The sequence below is a fragment of the Homo sapiens genome, chromosome 7 (genome assembly GCF_000001405.40).
Source record: "Homo sapiens chromosome 7, GRCh38.p14 Primary Assembly".
NCBI classification, from domain to species: domain Eukaryota; kingdom Metazoa; phylum Chordata; class Mammalia; order Primates; family Hominidae; genus Homo; species Homo sapiens.
Genome location: NC_000007.14, coordinates 21,697,384 through 21,717,959, shown reverse-complemented (window position 1 = coordinate 21,717,959; position 20,576 = coordinate 21,697,384). Strand labels below are relative to the sequence as shown.

The following is a 20,576-nucleotide window of genomic DNA, read 5'->3' as shown; positions in this document are numbered from 1 at the left end:
ACTAGAACGTTAAATGGCGTAACCGAAGACAAACCTGCACCAGGCTACTCTCAGGAATTGAAGTGATGGTTTTAAAGCTTGTTCTCAGTTTATCCAAGCATGCAGGGACATATTTATCAAAAAGAATAGTCAAATTGGCCTTTTCTGATTGATGCCGCCTTCTGTCTATCCAACTGGCCACATACCTGAAAAGGAACACAGAAAAGCTTTTATTGAACACTAGGCTTGAAAAGCAGAATTTCACCAAGTCAAAAGCTTCCTCCTTTGACACAGCTTGGTGCAACACTTCAAGGACACGTTTAGTGAGTTCGTTCTATTTTTCAAACTGCAAATATTTTAAAATGGCCCTTTAAAAACTTGTTTTAATGGCCATTTTACCTTAATGAAAAGACTGTAAAAGAAACTCCTAATAGCACTCAGAAGCCAAACATAATGGAATATAAGTAGACCATTACCGAGCATTTATGAGGAAGTGCACTATGTCATTTCCTGAAGGGCTGAAACTATTCCCATAGTGTAGGCCTTATTTATGAAAACAGCTTGTGATTTTTCTTGATTAATCTTGGCATCAATTATTTAGTAATAAGAAATCAGTTACGAATAAAAAGATGAAAATTCCGTAGGGGCTATTTCAAAGTGTCTCCTTTTTCAATGGACTGAATGTAACTCCAATCTGATAGCTGCTAACGAGTTTCCAATAGGTGGCTCTGATATGGCGTTTCATGCTTGGGTGCTGGGGTGTGTGTGTGTGTGTGTGTAATCTGAAACATAAAATGTTATCAATTTGATACATTAAATATCCTTAATGTATTAGTAAAATAATACTTATCAGTAAAACAAAGCATGACTTAGTAGCACCTATAGTAGTCTACAGGGCAAAAATGTATGATGTTAAACTAAAAATAATCCCTCAGAAAGTTCTCACTAAGGATGAAGCATGGGGAATAAATACATTTAGCAGCCAGCAGAGAAGGAGTATGACCACAGGTCAATTTCAGCTACACCTTGCATTTTGAGCATCAGGAGACATTAAGGCAAGATGATTATCTGACAAACGGCTCCTTTCACTTTTCTCAAGGCTTCACAATAGAGTTTATTAAATAGCCGGTTATGTTACACTCTGATGAAATTTATAAAATGTCAACTGTCAAAACTTTTTCAGGTCCAAGAGAAATGGTTTTCAGCAGAAGTCCAATTGCATAAGAGTAGCCTGATAGAATGTCCCTGTGTGGTAGCGACAGTGGGAACCGCGGAACAATGGAAAGCAGGTGTCAGTGCCTGGGGACAAAGGAATGAAGGCCACCATCTCAACTACTGATTTTACCCCATATCAGCTGCCAGAGTGGAAAGTGGAATCTTTGTATCTAGATCTTATCAAGAAGAGGTGAAAGAGGATTGCTCAGGGAAAGGAAAGTCTAAAGTGAAACTGCCTGGATATGCTACTTGGTTCCACCATTTTTTAAATGTGTTACCTTGGGCAAGTTACTTAACCTCTCTGTGCCTCAATTTTCTCCTCTGTAAATGGAGAGGGTAATAATATGAACCTCCTGGGGTGGTTGTGAGGATTATGTAAGTTTGCATGTATAAAGTGCTTACATTAGCATCTGACAAATAAATTCTCAATAAACGTTACTCATTAGTACAGAGTTGGTGGCATTCGGAAACTCAGGTTTAGATCGCGGCTCCGTCTCCCTCTGTTTCTCCTAAAGGCAGTAGCGTCCTATTGGGCACAAGAGTTGGCATCCTGGATTCTGGTGGATATAACAAAACCCACACCCCACTTTCCAACAAAGTTTCTTCCAGGTTTCTGTGGGAGCAGAAAGCCATTGCAAGCATTACTAGGAGCAGTAACTTCAAAAAAATAGCCCAGAAGGAAGAAGTGGGCTTTGCACTTAGGGTGCAGGTAATAGCGGTTTCATGGAGTCACATCAGCAGCAACTAAAGTCTCAGAGAAAATCTACCGATCCCACTAGCAAATGATGCTTTTGCACAAATTACTTCCACAAGTGAGAGGTGCTCCAGAAAAAAGTCAGTCCAACCAAACCAGGAGATGTGGTAAGAGCCGATTCTGCTTGAGAGAAAAAAAGTGGGGGTGGGAGGGGGAAATCAGATAAATTACCTCTACTAGGGATCAATCACACCACATAGCATAGGATAGAGAGTAAAAATGGCTATGTTGCTGGAGAGTTTAAAAATTTATGTAGAAATTATTGCTAAACTTACATAGTTTAGGAATAGACATTAAAAGACAGTAAATTTAGAAGGAGAAACTGTTACCTTCAGCAAACACTGAAGCCACAGAGCTGCATTTGTGTGCAATTCTTACAACACTGCTTCATATAAAAAGTTCCCTATGATTTTTAAAAGATGTGATAGATGTGGAACATGACTACTATTATATTACATACAATTGAAAATGGCATACTAAAATGGCATATTCTTTCCTTGCCCACAGAAAAGACCACCCACATTGGTGCCCCACCTCAGGAAATGGCTACATTGTAATGCCCCAATGTATCATCTTAATGGCAATATGCAGGTCATTAACAGAGAATTGTGGCTTTCCAGAATTTGCAAATGAGTCCTCCTATCAGCAGCTCAGTTGTTTCTCCTTCCTGCAGAACTGTTCCAGGTTTATCAAGTGAAGTCTATAACCGCGTGGTTTCTAAACTTTCTAGAGTAGCCAAAGTTCTCAGACCTCTGAAAACTTTTTATTTATTACTCAGGCCTCTGGGGTTGGATCCTGTTGTATAGGATAGAAGGAATTGAACAGACTCTAAGTCTACCCTTAGAGCAAGCTTCAAGTTCTCTGTCATTCACCGTGGCCTGGAAAAATGGCAGACGTTAGCAGTACATGCTGACTAGCAGTGTATACCAATTATTTCTGAAGTTGCATGTTTGTAAGCATATACAGTATCCCAAGATGAGACAGTGGGATTGCAGGGACAGAAGACAATAAGGTCATTTGATACAGGTGAAAGTACTAGTGACACAAAGCCAGAAGAATATTTTAAGCTCAAGTAATAGAAGAAAGAGTATGATCTAAAGTTGTGGCTTCCAAGAGTCATCTAGAAGTATCTAGTCTTTTGTAATCAGACTTAGGGATGACGTGTCTTAATGTCTCCAACTTACTTTCATATATTTCAGCAAAAATTAATAAAAGTAGAAAATGTGCCTCTATGCCAGAGAAAGAGAGAGAGAGAAAGTAAATGAGGTAAAATGGTTAGTGATTGCAGGAAAAGCGTCTCTGGCTGCGCATTGTACTACCTTTCCAACTTTTCTATAGTTTTGAACTTTATTTCAAAGTTTTGACTCTGAAGAAAACACTGGTGAAAACTGAGACTTACGAGATTCGCTTGGAAAATTGGGTTAATAATTATGTCTATCTCAGAAGGTAACTGAGTATTAAATGAATTAATACGTATAAAGCTATCATTTTGTTAATATAATGACATTAAAGTAAGATGTTAAAGTCTCCAATAACTATGGAGAGGAAAAAATACCCTTTATTCTAAAATAGCCATTTCGTGACTTATTGAAAGTTTATTGCAATGGGAGGTGAAAATACAAAAACGCCTTCTAGAGAAGATTTCCATTATTTTGGAAAATGACCTGGATGAATTATTTGGTCACACATATGAAAATTAACATCTACCCATTAATTCTGGATAAAACAAACAAACAAAAAACCCAAAAGTAAAATCTAATGGTGAAGACAGAGTTGTTTAACTCTCTTAGGAATATAAATTGGGTGTCTCTTTAGCCAACCCGTGACCTTTGATGTACTGCATAGAAGTCCTTCTTTAGGGATTTGGACCAAGCTTTTGTTAGCACAAATCTCCACAGGATAGGACTGAGACTGAATTACATATGCCTTGGGAGCTGTGAGATTCACTGCTGAAATCAGAGCACACCCAGGAGGGGTAAGAGGTCTCATGAAGGAAATGAATGCTGCCACGCACTGTGGTGCCTGGGTTCTCTGTACAGAGGGAGTCAGGGCTGCTGGAGAGACTCCCTCATGTAGCTCCCAACCAATAGAAGCATCCCAGGAGACAGAATCCTAGGTGTGGAAAGGAGTTATTATCCCAAGAAAAACACTCCATTTAAGACTTTTGAAAATCACTCCTTCCCCAAAACATATCCAATAAAGGCTCTGTCAACGCAAAAGCCTGTGCATGGCTCTACTACACTGTAGAGGTAAGGAATGAGACTTTTAGCGAGCATGTCAGTACACACAGGAAAGGCAGCCTGGAGAAGTACATCAGTTAGACATCTGGCAGGAAACCAATGTCATCCCTAAATCAGGATAACAAGGGAAGGATCAATAAAAGGACTAGTCACAGAAGTGTGGGCAAGAAGTAGAGGAAATGGAAGGGACAGTACCATGCCAAAAGGGTAATCACAAGGAATGGGTATTGTATCTATGCCTGGAGGGACAAGAGAACGAAGGACTGCCAGAACCTGGAAGGAAAGAACCTTAATGGAGAGATATAAGAAGAGCTGTGACCTGCAGTCACAGAGGGACAGAGCCATCCTGACATGACCCTGTTGGGAAGGAGAATAAACAGCCTGACCTCACTGTCCTCTCTCCCTCTCACTTCCTGCCAGGATTCTTCATTGGCCAAACCAACCAGAAGCCGGAAGGCAAGGAGCCCACTAATGTGGTCCATACAGACCACAGAAGAGGGTGAGAAGGATGGAGTGTGTGTCCAGAGAGGTAAACAGAAGATTTCTGATGTAAGAAGCATGCCAGGCACAAGCATGGGTTCACTGGCAGAGCTCAGTGACTCCTACAGTTCGAAGTGCAAACGCTGGAGGTGACAAGTTACAACCAGGATGAACTGTAGAAAATGTAAGCATTTGAGGAGTAAGCAACTGGGCACCATAAAGTTGCTCTAAATCAAAGCATTACAACTGTTCATGTATGGATAGTATACATACATGCAAACATACATAACCTAAGTGATTTCTTTTTATGTAAGTGTTCCATATAAGCTTTCATTGTTTATTCACTTACTCAACAAATATTTACTGAGTTCTTAACATCTTCAAGGTATGTGAACCAGGTAATGTCCAAGTAAAAATGACAAAGGCATTCCAGTGCTAAGTTAATTAACTTTTAATTAGCCTAATTAGTTAGCCTTAAATGTAACTGCTAATACCTTCAAGTGAGCATATAGATATTTAGAATTTTATACCAACATTTTAACAAGATCCAGGCACAATTTTAAAAAGCACCGATTAAAAACTGGGCAAAGAACTTAAAGAACTTACATGAACATTTTTCCAAAGAAGACATACAAACTGCCAATAAGCACATGAAAAGATGTTCAACATCACTGATCATCAGGGAAATGCAAATTAAAATGAGGTATCACCTCATGCCCATTAGCATGGCTACTGTTAGAAAAAGGGAAAATAACAAGTGCCGGCACAGGTGTAGAGAGATTAGAAGCCTTGTACACTGTTGGTGGGAATATAAATGGGTAGCAGCTGTGGAAAACAATGTGTCAGTTTCTCAAAAAATTAAAATTAGAATTAACATATGATCTAGAAATTCTTCTGAGTTCTACCCGAAAGAATGGAAAGCAGGGTCTTGAAGAGATATTTGTATACCCATGTTTACAGCAGCATTGTTCACAATAGCCAAAAGGTAGAAGAAACCCAAGTGTTCATTTATAGATGAATGGGTAAACGAAATGTGGTATGTACACATAATGGAGTATTATTCAGCCTTAAAAAAGGAAATACTACAATATGCTGCTACGTGGATAAACTCTGAAGACATTATGCTAAGTGAAATAAACCTGTCACTAAAAGACAAACACTGTATGATTCCATTTATATGCGGTACCTAGAGTAGTCTAATTCATAGAGATAGAAAGTAGAATGAAGGTTGCCAAGAGCTGGGAGGAGGGGAGAATGAGGTGTTATTGTTTAATGGATAAAGAGTGTCACTTTGGGAAGATAAAATCCTTCCAGAGATGGATGGTGGTGACAGCTGTGCAACAACATGAATGTGCTTAAGCAAAAATTATGAAAATGGTAAATGTTATGTTACATACAATTTACTACAATAAAACAAAAAGAAATACTCACGGATTCCAGCCCAGATCTTGTGGGTTCACATACAGAATACCAGCTCTGGAAACAGTGGCCGGGGTTGCGCTCCTTAAGTGATGTATCTCAAACAGAAGCCTCATGAAGGGAGTGAGTGCAATGCGCTCATTGCTGGCGAGGGTCAGCACCTGGAGTGAGCAGCACACTGTCACCCATGGGCAAAAGCAATGCCGCAAACATCCAGAAGCAACAAGTACTTTCCCCTACCAGAAGTATCACAGGCTGTGTGCTCACTCTCCTGAATCAGAAGTGCAGTCTGAATAAAGATCTAAGCTCACCCCTGAGATGACCTGACTGACCCTTGAACAAACTCACCTAAATGGACTTGTGAATGTCGACCTTTACATAATTGTAGTAATTTTTATTGCTAAGCCAAATATAAGACATGTATTGTAAAAATTAATCACATGAAAGGACCTGAATACCATAAACTTTTCTTTAGAATCTGAAATACCACAATTATCAATTGTCCAAAGAAACTTACACAAGTATAAAGATCCCAAACCTGTATTTTATGATGAACAGTGTCTCAGTTGAGTAAGCAGTAATTACTGTTAATTTAAGGTGGTTACTAAATCTTCTCTGGAGTAATGATGATTACTGATTTCTCTCTGCTGACCCCAACAACAGACCCTGTGTTGCTTGACTGATATCTCACAGACCTGTACCGTCACCTTTTGTTTTTGCTGGGAATGCTGAATTAACTGTGGCAAAAAAGCTTGGGAAAACATTTTAACTCAATCCATAGCCAAAGGAACTAGTTAATTTCAATCATCATATGGCACAAACCCGTTCTTTCATTGTCTAAGTATTTATACTTAATCAAAGATGACAAGATACAATAATTTACGGCTACCTCTTAGAAAGTGGTAAGATCTGTAAACTAAATTCTTAGATCTGTATCTAACTCTCAGTAAAGGTGGCTGAATTCAAAGAAACAAAGAGAACATATTCCTTGAAATTCTTTAATGGTGAAATTAAGAAAATTATCAGGAAAGCAACACTTATCAAAATAATAATTACATAAAGAATCCCAGGTTAATGAGCAAAAACTAGTATTAACATCGACAAGTGAATCGAACTCTTAATACACTCAGGATGTTATATTTAAGGTTGAGAACAGAGGTTTTATTCACCTTGTTATCATCCATTACAGTATTCAGTGATTCAATCCACATGGGGTCAATATCGCCATCCAGGACTATCCATTTTGGTCCATCATGCTTAAGATTTGCTTGTTCTCGTAGAATGGATGAGAAGAGACCTATAAAATAAGAGTAAACAATCCTAATATATAATGTAGTTGAGTGCTGTTTATTTCTACGATAGATTGATATTATTCATCTTGGAAGCTCTTTTATTAACTAAATAAAAACGATTTTGCTGCCTCTTTCTTGCGGGCAGTGTGTAACACCTTTTCAGCCACACATGGGTTCCAGATTCACCTCTATTATTTACCAACGTGTAAGTTTCACCTCACTGAGAAGGACCCTTAACTTCCACGACTGAGCTTCCCATATGCCAAACAGAGATAACAAAAACCTTCCTTCATGAACAGTTGTGGGGATTTATAGAAGGTAACGTACCTAAAACTCAAAACTTACACCAACTGAAGACATGATCCTTCTTCATACACATATGTTCAGTATCCATTTTAGATCAAATATTTGTTTATTTCACCTGTCTCCATTTTTCTACAACAATTTTCAAGGGCATAATTCTGAAGCTAAAGCATTCAGAAGCACCATACATCTCTTACAGAAATGTGTTCACTGGGATACTAACTCATCATTCCTTAACAAGATGTATAGGCAAAAACATTTTAAATCTACAGTCCCTTTTGCCATTACTACATATCTAAGCACTGTGTATTTGATGTGACATATTTAACAGTTGCAAATTTTTCAAGCTCTAGTAAATCTAATAGCATTGTGAGCAAAACTGTTTTGATGCATATATCTAGAATGTTTCTTCTGTGAAGTATTTTGTGCCAAAAGTGACAGTATCTAATGGAACTTGCCACCACAATTCATATAGCAGCCAGCAAACTTTTCTAATAGTCACTGATTTGAACAGTTTCCACAGTTTTTCAGCCTAAACAGATACGATTCTCTCCCTGCCATAGTTCTTTACAAAAAGACAGAAGCTAGGCTGAGACAGTAAAAACTGTCCCACAGAAAAAGGAGTGTACACAAGACGAGAGGATAGAGAATGATGAAGGGTGTCCTGCTTTATTATTACTATTTTTAAAATTTCAACTTTTATTTTAGGTTCAGATGATACACATGCAGGTTTGTTGCATGGGTATACTGTGTGACATTGAGGTTTGGGATACAAATGGTGCCATCGTCCAGGTAGTAAGCATAGTAACCAACAGGTAGTTTTTCATCCCCTGCTGCTCTCCTTCCCTCCCACCTCTAATAGGCCTCAGTGTCAATGGCTCCCATCTTTATGTCCACATGTACCCAATGTTTAGCTCCCACTTGTGAATAAGAATATGCAGTATTTGGTTTTCTGTTTCAGCATTAATTCACTTAGGATAATGGTCTCCAGCTACATCCATGTTGCTGAAAAAAACATGATGTTGTCCTTTTTTATGGCTACATAGTATTCCATGGTGTATATGTACCATGTTTTCTTTAATCCACCATTAATGGGCACTTAGGTTGATTCCACGTCTTTGCTATTGTGAATAGTGCTGCAGTGAACATATGAGTGAATGTGTCTTTTTGGTAGAACAATTTGTTTTCCTTTAGGTATATACCCAGTAATGGGATTGCTGGGTCAAACGGTAGTTCCGTTTTAAATTTTTTGAGAAATCTCCAAACTAATTTCCATAGTGACTAAACTTATTTCCCACCAAGTCTATAAGCGGTCCCTTTTCTCCACAGCCTCACCATCATCATTTGACTTTTTCATAATAGTCTTTCTGACTGGTATGAGATTCTATCTCATTGTGATTTTGATTTGTATTTCTACTTTAGATCTGCCATCAGGGAAGTCTTCTCTGATATGACATTTCACCAGATGCTGAAATAAGATAAGGGAGCAAGTCATGCGGGCATCCAGAAGAGTGTTGCCGACGGCAGGAACATGAGGTGCTGAGGCCCCGTGATGGGAGCAAGTTCAAGGAATAGCAAAGAGGCCAGAATGAATGGCTTATAGTAAGTGGTGGGAAATGAAGTCAGGGATGGTGGGATTTGGGGACGGGGGCAGGGATCCAATCCCATAGAGCGTTATAAGCCATGGAAAAGGTTGGATTATAAAGGTGATTGGAACCCACTAGAAATCAAAAGCAAAGAAGTAACATTTGAAGCCCCTCTGTCTGCTTTAGGTCAAATGAACTGCAGGGAAACCAGCAGGAGGAGATTACACGCTGCTGTAGTACAGGCGAGACATGATGGCAGCTTCAACTAACGTGGCATCTATGGAGAAGGCGAGAAGAACTGGAATTCACATACATTTTAAAGGCAAAGCCTATAGGATTCGCTGTGAGGTTGGATGTAGGGTATAAGAGGGAGAGAGGCCTCAAGGATGATGCCAAGGTTAGCGCATTTACTGTAACAGGAAATCTTAACAGATTGTCACAAAGGGATCTGCTTGCTTACAAATACTCTCAGGGCAGGCAACATGCCCTACTGACTTTTGTCCCTGGCACCTGGAATAATGTCTGCCTGAACTTCAGTGCCTCATATCAGGTACTTTATAGATGTTTCCTGAGGCATTCATGTTGACTTCACTCCTGATTTACAGGGAGCCCTGACATAATTGACGTGGGATAAAATACAACAGCTCTGAGTACAAATCTGCTGAATGCAAATCAAGTATTTATTCAAATCTAGTCTTAATTTATACATTATAAATGCTGTTGTGATCTGCTATATTTCCAATAATGCCAACACATAAACAGTAAGTCTGCGACTATGACTAAAATTGGCTTGTACTGAAAAACGGCTTTCTGGATAGAAAAAAAAAATTGAGCACTTCTAAAGGGGAAATACTACTTGCCATCTTTCCATTCTCGGGTAGCATGATGTATGAAACCAAAGAGTTCATCTGTTGTCACAGCTTTAGGGTTTAAGTCATTCCAAACCGGCTTCTGTTTCATGTTAACATATGTTCGGTTCAGTGTTCTCAAAATCTGAGGGGAAGGAGGAAAGAGCCAAAAAAATTAATACTAACATAAGCCAAATGGAAAGTAAAAGATTTCTGAAGAGTTTTCCGTATTCATTATATGTTCCTAGATGCTGTGTGTGTGCTAAGATCGAGAAGGGGAAAAATGCACATGTGTGCATTCCCATTACCATCTTGAAAAGCTTCATCTTACAAATACTCAGCAAGACAGAATCAGTTCACTTGACTCTTTGAACCATTTAGACTAAAGGGAGTCACTTTCTCACTTGAGATTTTTAATCATGTGTACAAAGTGGAGGACCATACATAAATAAGCATTTATGTTGATTACAAAATCTACCCTGCCTGAATCAGCAAGATTGGTTTTTCTCAAAATGTAGCCTACAACAGAACTGTTTGGAGGGTATTAAAATACAGATTGCTGAGCCCAATCCCAGAGCTTCTATTTCAGTAGGTCTGAGGTGGGGCCAGTAATGTACAGTTCCAACAAGGGCCCAGCTAATGCCAATGATGCTGGTCTGGCCATGCTTTGAGACCTAGAGACTTAGGGCAGTGGTTCTCAAGAAAAGACTGTCTTGACTTGGGGGAAGAAGGGGGAAGGAGCTTCTGGACATCCAGTGGATAGAGACCAGGGAGGTTGCTAAATATCTTTCAATGAGCAGGATAGCCTCCTACAGCAGAGTTATCCAGTCCAGAATGTCAACAGTGCTGAGGTTGACAAACCCTGATCCTGGTAATTGAGGAAAAGCCTTGATAATGAGAACTCACAGAACAGGTGCTCAGTGTATGTCTATTCAATTAATTAATACTTTAACTCAAATATCTGCCCTAACTCTCCCTTTTGCTCCTTTGAAAAGCTGTGGCTTTTGTCTTAGATATTTATCATGCTGACCTACTCACAAGGGTTGTGAAAAACTGATAAACAATTGGCAAACACTTTGAAATGATAAGATGCTAAAGAACGTCACCCTGAGCTGCAGTGTTCCGGGTATCTCGGGTTACGTACCTGTTGAGTAGAACAGAACTGGTGAAGACTAGAAGAAAGTAAATGCCTTAGGAATATTAAGCTTATATTTTTAGAAACCATTAATCCACTGGAAAGTATAGAATTTAACTTTATCCTTCCTTGAACTGTGGCCTACATCTGTAACTTACTCTAACAAAATAATTACAGGTCTATCAGTTATCTACTTTAATATTTCATTTATTATATTTTTCACTAGAAAAATGTCTATACAGAGATTTTTTTTCTTACAGTTGTTCCACTTTGGGTTCTGATCTAAATACTGGCAAGTTCCATATACTGCCATCCTCTAAAATCTCATATGCTCAATCTGATTATTTTTAGCTGCTGGCTACCAAGTATGTTTATACCCAAGCATCCTGAATTAAAATGCATGCAGTTCTGCATATACCGTCTGCCAACCGAGAAAATAAGTATGTTTCCAGGACTGTCAGTAAGACCAAACAAAATCAAGCAGTGAACTAAAAATGGGGATAATAATACCCATAGTATATCATTGTTGTGCCGAGTAAATCATACATAATGCACCTAGCACAGCACATAATAGGTACATCAAAAATGTGGGTTTTGCCACTTCCTTTTATTTTTAGGTTTTGTTTGGCCATATAGAGGGTTATATTTCTGAGGGAGTACTGAAGGAAAATATTTCGGTTTGTTTTTCTGAATGATATGGGGAGGAGAATCAAGGATGACTTGGAAAAGAAAATAGGTTTGATAAATGTGGCTAGAGCCAATCCAATCTTCCAGCCAGATATCTTATTCCACAGTCTCTTAATATGTTTATCTTTGATAAAAGAATCCAAGCATAAATGTATTGAAAGGTGCATAAGGTAGGATGGTGTATATCGAAATGCCTGCATCTGATACTGAACATCTCACGTGGAAAGTTCAATCTTCATGTTGGCTTGCTTTTCCTATGTGAATGCAATCCTCTATTTGTTTCTTGTTCTCCCCCCGCTGACCCAATATAAAGGAAAAGAATGTCAATTGATCAAGCAGCAAGATTCCAGTCTCAGATTCTGACCCAAAATTATGGTGGGCTTCATGGAGGGGAATTCTTTTGAGTAGCATTGAAAATAGGCCGAACCACAATGACAACAAATGTTCTTTCCATAGCTGTAAGCTATTAGGCAATTTACTATACCTTACTCTTTCCTGTGCCTGCATTTCCAACTACAAAGACCGAGTGCCGCACAGCCAACAGTTCCTCAAGCTGGACAACCTGCAGAGCAAACAGCTGGTTGCTGGTTTCCTTTAAGGAGTTGGTGACAAAAAGATAATCTACCATTTTTGCCCAATTCTTCTTTCCTTACACCCAAGCCAGCCCCCACTGACAACAGTATGTTCAGAGAAAGTTAAAATAGACCATAAGTGAAAAGTATAGTTTTTCCTGGATCTCCCATGTAGACCACAGGGCTGAGACTAAAGCCAACCCACGATTTTACGCAGTACTCAGTATATGGCAGGGGTTACTTACAAAAATCATTAACTCTTCATGAGTTTTGAACAAACACTGTACATAGCCAATCACTATCTACAACTAATGATTTATATCCTATAAAATATCTAAAATGGATAATGTATATAGTGTTCAATATCCATGCATTCACTGAATTCAAATTGAAAAATATGCACGAGGCTTTGATATGTCAGATAATATCTACTTAAGTTATTCTCATACATGTTGTCATTCTTCCCTCATTAAAAGCAGGCACTAATGATTTTACTTCCAATGTTCTCTAAAAAGGAGGAAAGAACAAAGTAAATTTTTAGTGCATGTCTCGAAGAACCAACAAGTTTTGTAACCTAATTAAAAGCATGCTTACATTTAAAGCCATGAAAATCATATCTATGTTTTCACCTTACGGAGAGGGGCTACTTAAATGTTTACTTATGTTTACTTAATCCTGCCATATGAAAATGCTTGAAAGCATATATTAAGATCCTATTAAGGTTAGGGTACAAGTTAACATCTTGCTTTAGTATCAATTAGCCACAATTATTTCCACTGACAATCCCAACAGCTGCCATGAAAAGCAAATGCTCCTTTTACTTTGAGGATGAAGCTCTCTTCAGGCTGCAGGCGGAGCTCCAGGGTAGACTGCCTGACCATCTGTTCAAAGTGCAGCTTCCTCCTCCGGGGCACATCCAGGGCTGGAAACAGGTCACCGACCAGGCCCAGAAACACTGGGATGTCGTCAGTCACTATTTTGGGCATATTGAAATCCCTTAATGCTCTCATGAGTACCTAGAAAAAAAAACATTTTATAAAAAAGCCAATACAAGGTCTAACAAACACCTAAAAAACTAAAGATGTTTGTTATTTTTACTCCTCATATGTGAAGCATGAGATATTGGTACTGTTCTCCATTAAGATGGCATTCTATCAATAGGGAGGTTAAATGTTTAAAATTGATGTATCAGAACATGAGAAGGCTGAACTGATACAATGAACAATCCTTAGAATAAGAACAGCAAAGAGGCCTTTTCCTTCCCTGCCAATGATCTGTTTTGATCTTCAGAAACAATCTAAGGGCCTTCTCTCTTGAATCCTCAAACTCCAGAATTTAAATTAATCAAGCCCATCAGATCATTTTATCCAAAGTACTCTGAGAATCTTAGAATGATAATCTCAAACATTTTTAGTTTTGTTGTTGTTGTTCTATCTTGGCTGTAAGCTAAAGATTTTAAAAGCAGTAACTCAAACGTCAGGATAACTTCTACAGCAGGAGTTAAGCATTCCAACAAAAATTTTAAAAAGCAAGAGAAAAAATAAATGAAAGAAAATCTTGACCTAGTACTAAATTACGAGGAAATTAAGAGGAAAAGAGAGAAATATTGGCAAAGAAAAGTACAAAAATACGTAATAAATATCCCACAATTTAAAAAATCACACAGAGTAAAGTTTTGGGTTTTTTGTTGTTGTTGTTGTTATTTCCCAAGTCATATTGCACATACACATGGTGATATGTATTGATATGGTTTGGATTTGTGTCCCCACCCAAATCTCATGTCAAATTAGAGGAGGGCTTAGTGGGAGGTGATTGGATCATCAAGTGGGTGGATTTCCTCCTTGCTGTTCTCACGAGATCCGATGGTTTAAAAGTGTGTGGCACTTTCCCCTTCATTCTCTCTCTCTCCTGCCACCATGTGAAGAAGGTCCGTGCTTGCCCCTTGCCTTCCTCCATGATTGTCAGTTTCCTGAGTTCTCCCAGTCATGCTTCCTGTTAAGCCTGTAGAACTGTGAGTCAGTTAAACCTCTTTATAAATTTCCCAGTCTCAGGTAGTTCTTTGTAACAGTGTGAAAATGGACTGATAACACATATCCATTGCTCTCGCTACTTAAGGGAAAAATTCATGAAGTGTTGTTATCGTTTCTCCCCAGGAAGGAGAGCAGAACATTTCTCTAGTAGCTCTGACCAACCAATCACGCATTTCATTGGTGTCAGGCACCCACCCTTCCTGTTTCATTCTGCATGTCCATCTTAGGTCCCATGAAATGGATGCTCTTTCTCCCATTATGTCTTCGCTGACTTTCCAGGATTAATATCCCAATTCAATCAGATTTCTTAAATGTTCCTCAGAGGAAATCAAACAGTGATTACTGAATTATTTGATTATGACTGTCAAAATACTTTTTGTGGCTATTTCAAAACTACTTGTAAAATCACATTTTCTTTTCCAGATTCATATCTTTGTACTCAAGACCACTTGTGACCTCTTATAAGGAACGCCAATCCTCAAATTTCCTGCATTAACAACAGATGTTATGCTTTTTAAAAGTTGTGCTGTCCATGCCCCACCATCCAGGCATATACTTTCATGTCTGTGAAGCAGGCCAGCTACTCACTCAACAAAATCATATTAGCATTGCAGTACCTGATCTTCGGGTCTATTTTTATCTCCTCGTTTCAGAGATCCAGCCACAACCAAGACAGACTTAATAGCACGAAGTCCCCAGTCGTAATGATCCTAAAATCAAAACAGGTTTATTTTCTCAAAAATTGTATGAGGGAAGAAGATTCTCATTCCAGAGGTAAGAGCTGAAAGTTTTTAAGAAGGAGTTCAGATAAATACACACTTTAATGATTCAAAATACTATTTTCTTCTGCTCTTTGAAACTGTGAAAATCATGTCCCTGTAGTGTCGTCCTGTTTCTTTCACCTTTTTTTTTTTGCCTCTGTCAGCAAGTCTCTTCTTTCCATAGCGCTTAACTGCAGTATTTGCCTAAGGCTCCATCCACCTCCCTTGCTGTACTCTCTCAACAGACCTGCTAACTCAGTAGCTCAGCAAATTCCCCGTTTTCACCTCCAACCAGAAGCACATTTCTCCACCTGTGCTGGTTTCATCAAGGGCCCTGGTATTCTACTTCTCCCCAGACTTGGATCCCTAATGGCCCCAATTACTCCACCTCTTAATCAGATACTTCTGCCTAGATGCCAGCACATAATATAATAAAAACCATGTCATTAAAATTCAATTATCTGTTTTTGAGACTACAACGTTATCCCTAATGAAGACTCCTCCCACAGGGTCTGAGCTCTTAGAGGATCTCAGAATATTACTTCTGAGATTGGATACAATTGCAACTCCATGCTCCCTGGGACCAATTACATTTTTTCTTCTGGCTTTTTCTCATGATAAACTTATTTCCCATATATTCACTGTCTTCTTGGGGCTAGCACATTGCACGGTGCTCAGTAAAGGTATTCCTAACGAACTAACTGCTTACACGGGACTGGCCCTCTTTCACCGTCCAGCTACAACCCACACAGTAACAACCCATCTCTCAAATGTCTCTCAGCTGTGTCTATGGGAAAGACACTTTACCTCCCAGAGCCTCAGAATCATCATCTATAAAAAGGGAGATAAAAGCACCCACCTACTTTATAAGTGGTTGTAGGAGTAAAGTGAATTAATATGAGTACAAATTTTTTGTGGGCGGTAAAACAATATTACATTACAAATATCCCATTTACTCCACTAGTGGATAATAAAATCAATTTAGTAGGTCTCGACCATCATTTTTGTCTGTAATAAAAGGGAACGAAATGAAAAACACTGCAGTGTGATGCAAATGAGAGCAAAAAGTGGCTGAGTGTGGTGGCTCATGCCTGTCATCTCAGCACTTTGGAAGGCTGAGGCGGGCAGATTGCTTCAGCCCAGGAGTTCCAGACCAGCCTGGGCAACAGGGGGAAACCCCACTCCTGCAAAAAATACAAAAATTAGCTGGGCGTGATGGTGCACGCCTAGAGTCTCATTTACTTAGGAGGCTGAGATGGAAAGATCGCTTGAGCCAGGAAGGTCGAGGCTGTGGTGAGCTATGATCACATTACTGTACTCCAGCCTGGGTAACAAAGCGAGGCACTGTCTCAAAAAAAAAAAAAAAAAAGTAAAAAGTGTTTGGTGAAATTTTTGGTTCAGTTGTACATGTGTGTATGCACTGAGTCACAATAGAAGAATTATTTTTTACTGTGGGCCATGGAAAAGATCATTTGAAAGCCACTGATGGAGTAGGCTGAGGCTTGAAGAGGAAAGGGAGGGGAAAGAACCAGAGGTTTTGTTGTTGTTGTTGTTGTTGTTTAAGTTTCGGGACACATGTGCAGAATGTGCACATTTGTTACATAGGTATACACGTACCATGGTGGTTTGCTGTACCCATCAACCTGTTATCTACATTAGGTATTTCTTCTAATGCTATCCCTCCCCTAGCCCTCCACCCCCAACAGGCTCCAGTGTGTGATGTTCCCCTCCTTGTGCCCATATGTTCTCACTGTTCAACTCCTACTTATGAGTGAGAATATGTGGTGTTTGGTTTCTTATTCCTGTATTAGTTTGCTGAGAATTATGGTTTCCATCCTCGTCCATGTCTCTGCAAAGGACATGAACTCATCCTTTTTCATGGCTGCATAGTATTCCATGGTGTATATGTACCATATTTTCTTGATCCAGTCTATCATTGATGGCCATTTGGGTTGGTTCCAAGTCTTTGCTACTGTAAATAGTGCTGCAGTAAACATATGTGTGCATGTGTCTTTATAGTAGAATGATTTATAATTCTTTGGGTATATACCTAGAAAGGGGATTGCTGGGTCAAATGGTGTTTCTGAGAATAAGAACTTTGAGGGCAACAATGGGAGGTGGCTAAGTTATTGCAGTAACAATAAAAGGAGTGGATGCAGAAGAAATTTTGGACCACAGATTTCAGAGGACTTGGTGCCTCTGCTAAACATTTAAACAATGCAAATAGCTAAAAGTATCTTCACCATTTTCATTATATCATTCCAATGGTCAAAAATGTCTGCTGATTCTTTTCCCAAACCCATTTCTGTAGCACAGGAAGTTATCCTTGAATTGTGTTCCTAACCCAGCTCTTCTGTCCTGGCCAGATTTCTTTTTGCTCATTTGTGACATTTCTGAGTTAGCAAACTCTTTCCTTCTTTGTTCTACCTGTACTCCCAACACCTTCCTCTTGTAATTGGCTACAGGTGTGTCCTAGACAGAATTAGAACTGAAGTCAAATCTTGCCCTTATCCCTTGTTAGCTATATGGACTTGGGACAGGTTGTTTTGCTCAGTTTTCTCATATGTAAAACAGGGCTAATAAAATCAAATTTGTAAACTTCTTTTGACAGTTTTGTAACATAACACATAGTACTCATTCAATAAATATTGGTTCCTTTCTTCCTTGAAAACTCTGATAATCTTTTCATTCTCCATTGTCTCCCAATTTTTATGTCATGTAAACTGAATTACCTAAATTCTTCAAAGTCAGAAATCTGGGTGTTTGTTTCATTTGTTTTGAATCTTACACATTCAACATGGTCAGCAAAAAGCACATTATTAGTTATACTAGATGCTCATTAAATGTTTAAATATTACTACTGAAAATAGATATAGTTGAAACTCCACATTCCCTGGGCTCTATTACATTTTTTTCTTCTGACTTGTTACCATGATAAAATTAAAATAGGCTCATTAAAAAAAGATTTTAAGAATAAGGAAAAAAATAAAAACACCCATAATCTTACTATCCAGAGACAACTGTTAAAAATTATGATTCCACCCACCCAATGTAAATTCACAGTTACTAAAAGGACAACATAAATCACTCTCATATTCCATATTTTGCCCTAACAATGAGCAAGTTAAAATAAATACGTGGCAGTAAGGTAACTGTGTGGTTGCAACTGTGGTATTCTGATGCTTTCATTTTGACTACAGAATAATGTCACCAGTAATTAATGAAATGTTATCAAAAGACCAAAAGTCAAAAATGATCATATGGCTGAATTTTAAAATATTGATGCTGATATATATGTAATTTCTGTGGCTTATCAGCAACTTCAATAGATCTTCAAGAAGCTTATGATTGGAGAGTAGAGAGTATGTAAATCTGACCCATTTTAGAGACAAGGAAATTGTAGAGCACAAATTTAAAAGAACAAAAAACCAGTCAACCCTACCTTTAAATAAAGAATTACCAATAAATGAGAATAATTTTAACATTCCTTGAGATACTCTTCAGAAAATTAGCCTTATCTTACTCTTTTGAACACTCCTGCCCTATCTTATTAGAAAATAATATTTTCACGAAGAAAGGGAGGCAACATAAAATTCCATTTATGATTACAAAATTGACAAAGAAAATCACACAGCTCGTTGATTTAAAAAAGTATTAATACAAATAAAATATCAGAACTAAAATATCTCAAAATTTCAGAAAAAAATAAAAATTATAAAATAAGTTTTTCGAATTTTATAGAAAATATAAAAATATTTCTAATGTCAAATGAAATGGTAGTTTTAGTTTTTAAAGGAATCTCCATTTGATCTAGCAATCCCACTACTGGGTATCTGCCCAGAGGAAAAGTAGTCATTATATGAAAAAGACACTTGAACATGCCTATTTATAGAAGCACAATTTGCAATTGCAAAAATATGGACTAGCCTAAATGTCCATCAGCCAATGAGTGGATAAAGAAACTGTGGTATATATACACCATGGAATATTACTCAGTCATAAAAAGGCATGAAATAATGGCATTTGCAGCAACCTGGATGGAGGTGGAGACCATTATTCTAGTAAAGTAACTCAGGAATGGAAAGCCAAATATCGTATGTTCTCACTTATAAGTGGGAGCTAAGCTATGAGGATGCAAAGGCATAAGAATGATATAATGGCCTACAGGGACTTGGGAGAAAAGGTGGGAGGTGGGTGAGGGATAAAAGACTACACACTGGGTACTGTGTACACTCCTCAGGTGCACCAAGATCTCAAAAATTACCACTAAAGAACTTATCCATGTAACCAAAAAACACCTGTTCCCCCAAACTATTGAATTTTTTTAAGTACAAAAAAATTTTAATGTCTAATGTAATTTGAATGATAAATTACCTAAAATCCATACTTCAAAAGCTTTTTCAATGGTATGTAAAAACAAGAAAACGTAACAAATGATCCCTCACCTGCTTGGAGAGAAGCTCCTTGCAAAGCGTGTACAACGTAATGAACTTTCGGGCTAATGCACGCGCATCCACAAAACCTTCAGCAACTAACAAGATTTCACAGATTAGCTCAATGTCAGGGGCCACCATGGCACAGGGTCTAAAAAGTAAATAAGAATTTTAGTTTTAAAATGTGACAAGGTGATAAGTACAAATTGCTGAAATCAAGTGGTTATTTCGTACCAACATTTTAACCATTCCTAAGCAGATCATAATTATGTCTGTCAATCACAGCTAATAAGACCCTTCACTTCAACTAAAAAAATGTCCACTCATTACTGGACACAAAAAATGATAGAAAGTCTGGAATGGCAGAAGCACAGGTGTAGGAGTTCAAAGAAAATCCATGAATACATTCTGTAAACGTCTGGTGTAAGTTGTCACTGCAGAAAGAGGAATAATGATGTTTTGAGCAAGGGGCGAGGCTTTACCTGTGGTTAATGGTGTGCTGGTTAATGTTTTCACAACCGGCTGTCTAGAAAATAGCACTTGCTTATTTCCATGGAATAAATTCTTCCACCATGGCTGATTCCAAGATACCAACACAATATCACTAAATGTGGAGCTGAGAAGTATACCACCATACAGACACAATAGACAGAAATAACCTCAAGAGCATAAATACCAGTAAAATAAATAATTATAAAGTGACCAGTTTGGGGTGTTTATCACCTTTGTTTTTAATCCAACTTATTGAATCAAAAGTTGATACAATTTAGTTTTCATTAAACTAAAGAACCAACTCAGAACATTCATGAAAACTTAACCATCAGCTACTGAGAGCTTGTGCC

The 20,576-nt window shown here is 38.2% G+C and overlaps 1 protein-coding gene across 1 annotated transcript in view; it reads right to left on the bottom strand.

Annotated features, from left to right (window-relative positions):
- The window catches only part of DNAH11 (dynein axonemal heavy chain 11), a 358,801-nt gene that overhangs the window by 183,880 nt on the left and 154,345 nt on the right, over positions 1-20,576 (bottom strand). Inside the window, exons 36-43 of the mRNA NM_001277115.2 lie at positions 19,747-19,885; positions 15,158-15,250; positions 13,332-13,526; positions 12,423-12,500; positions 10,125-10,261; positions 7,257-7,407; positions 6,100-6,248; positions 35-185 (exon numbers count right to left, since the gene is read on the bottom strand). Coding sequence (NP_001264044.1) covers positions 35-185; positions 6,100-6,248; positions 7,257-7,407; positions 10,125-10,261; positions 12,423-12,500; positions 13,332-13,526; positions 15,158-15,250; positions 19,747-19,885 — 1,093 coding nt within the window. The remainder of the gene's footprint in view (positions 1-34; positions 186-6,099; positions 6,249-7,256; positions 7,408-10,124; positions 10,262-12,422; positions 12,501-13,331; positions 13,527-15,157; positions 15,251-19,746; positions 19,886-20,576) is intronic.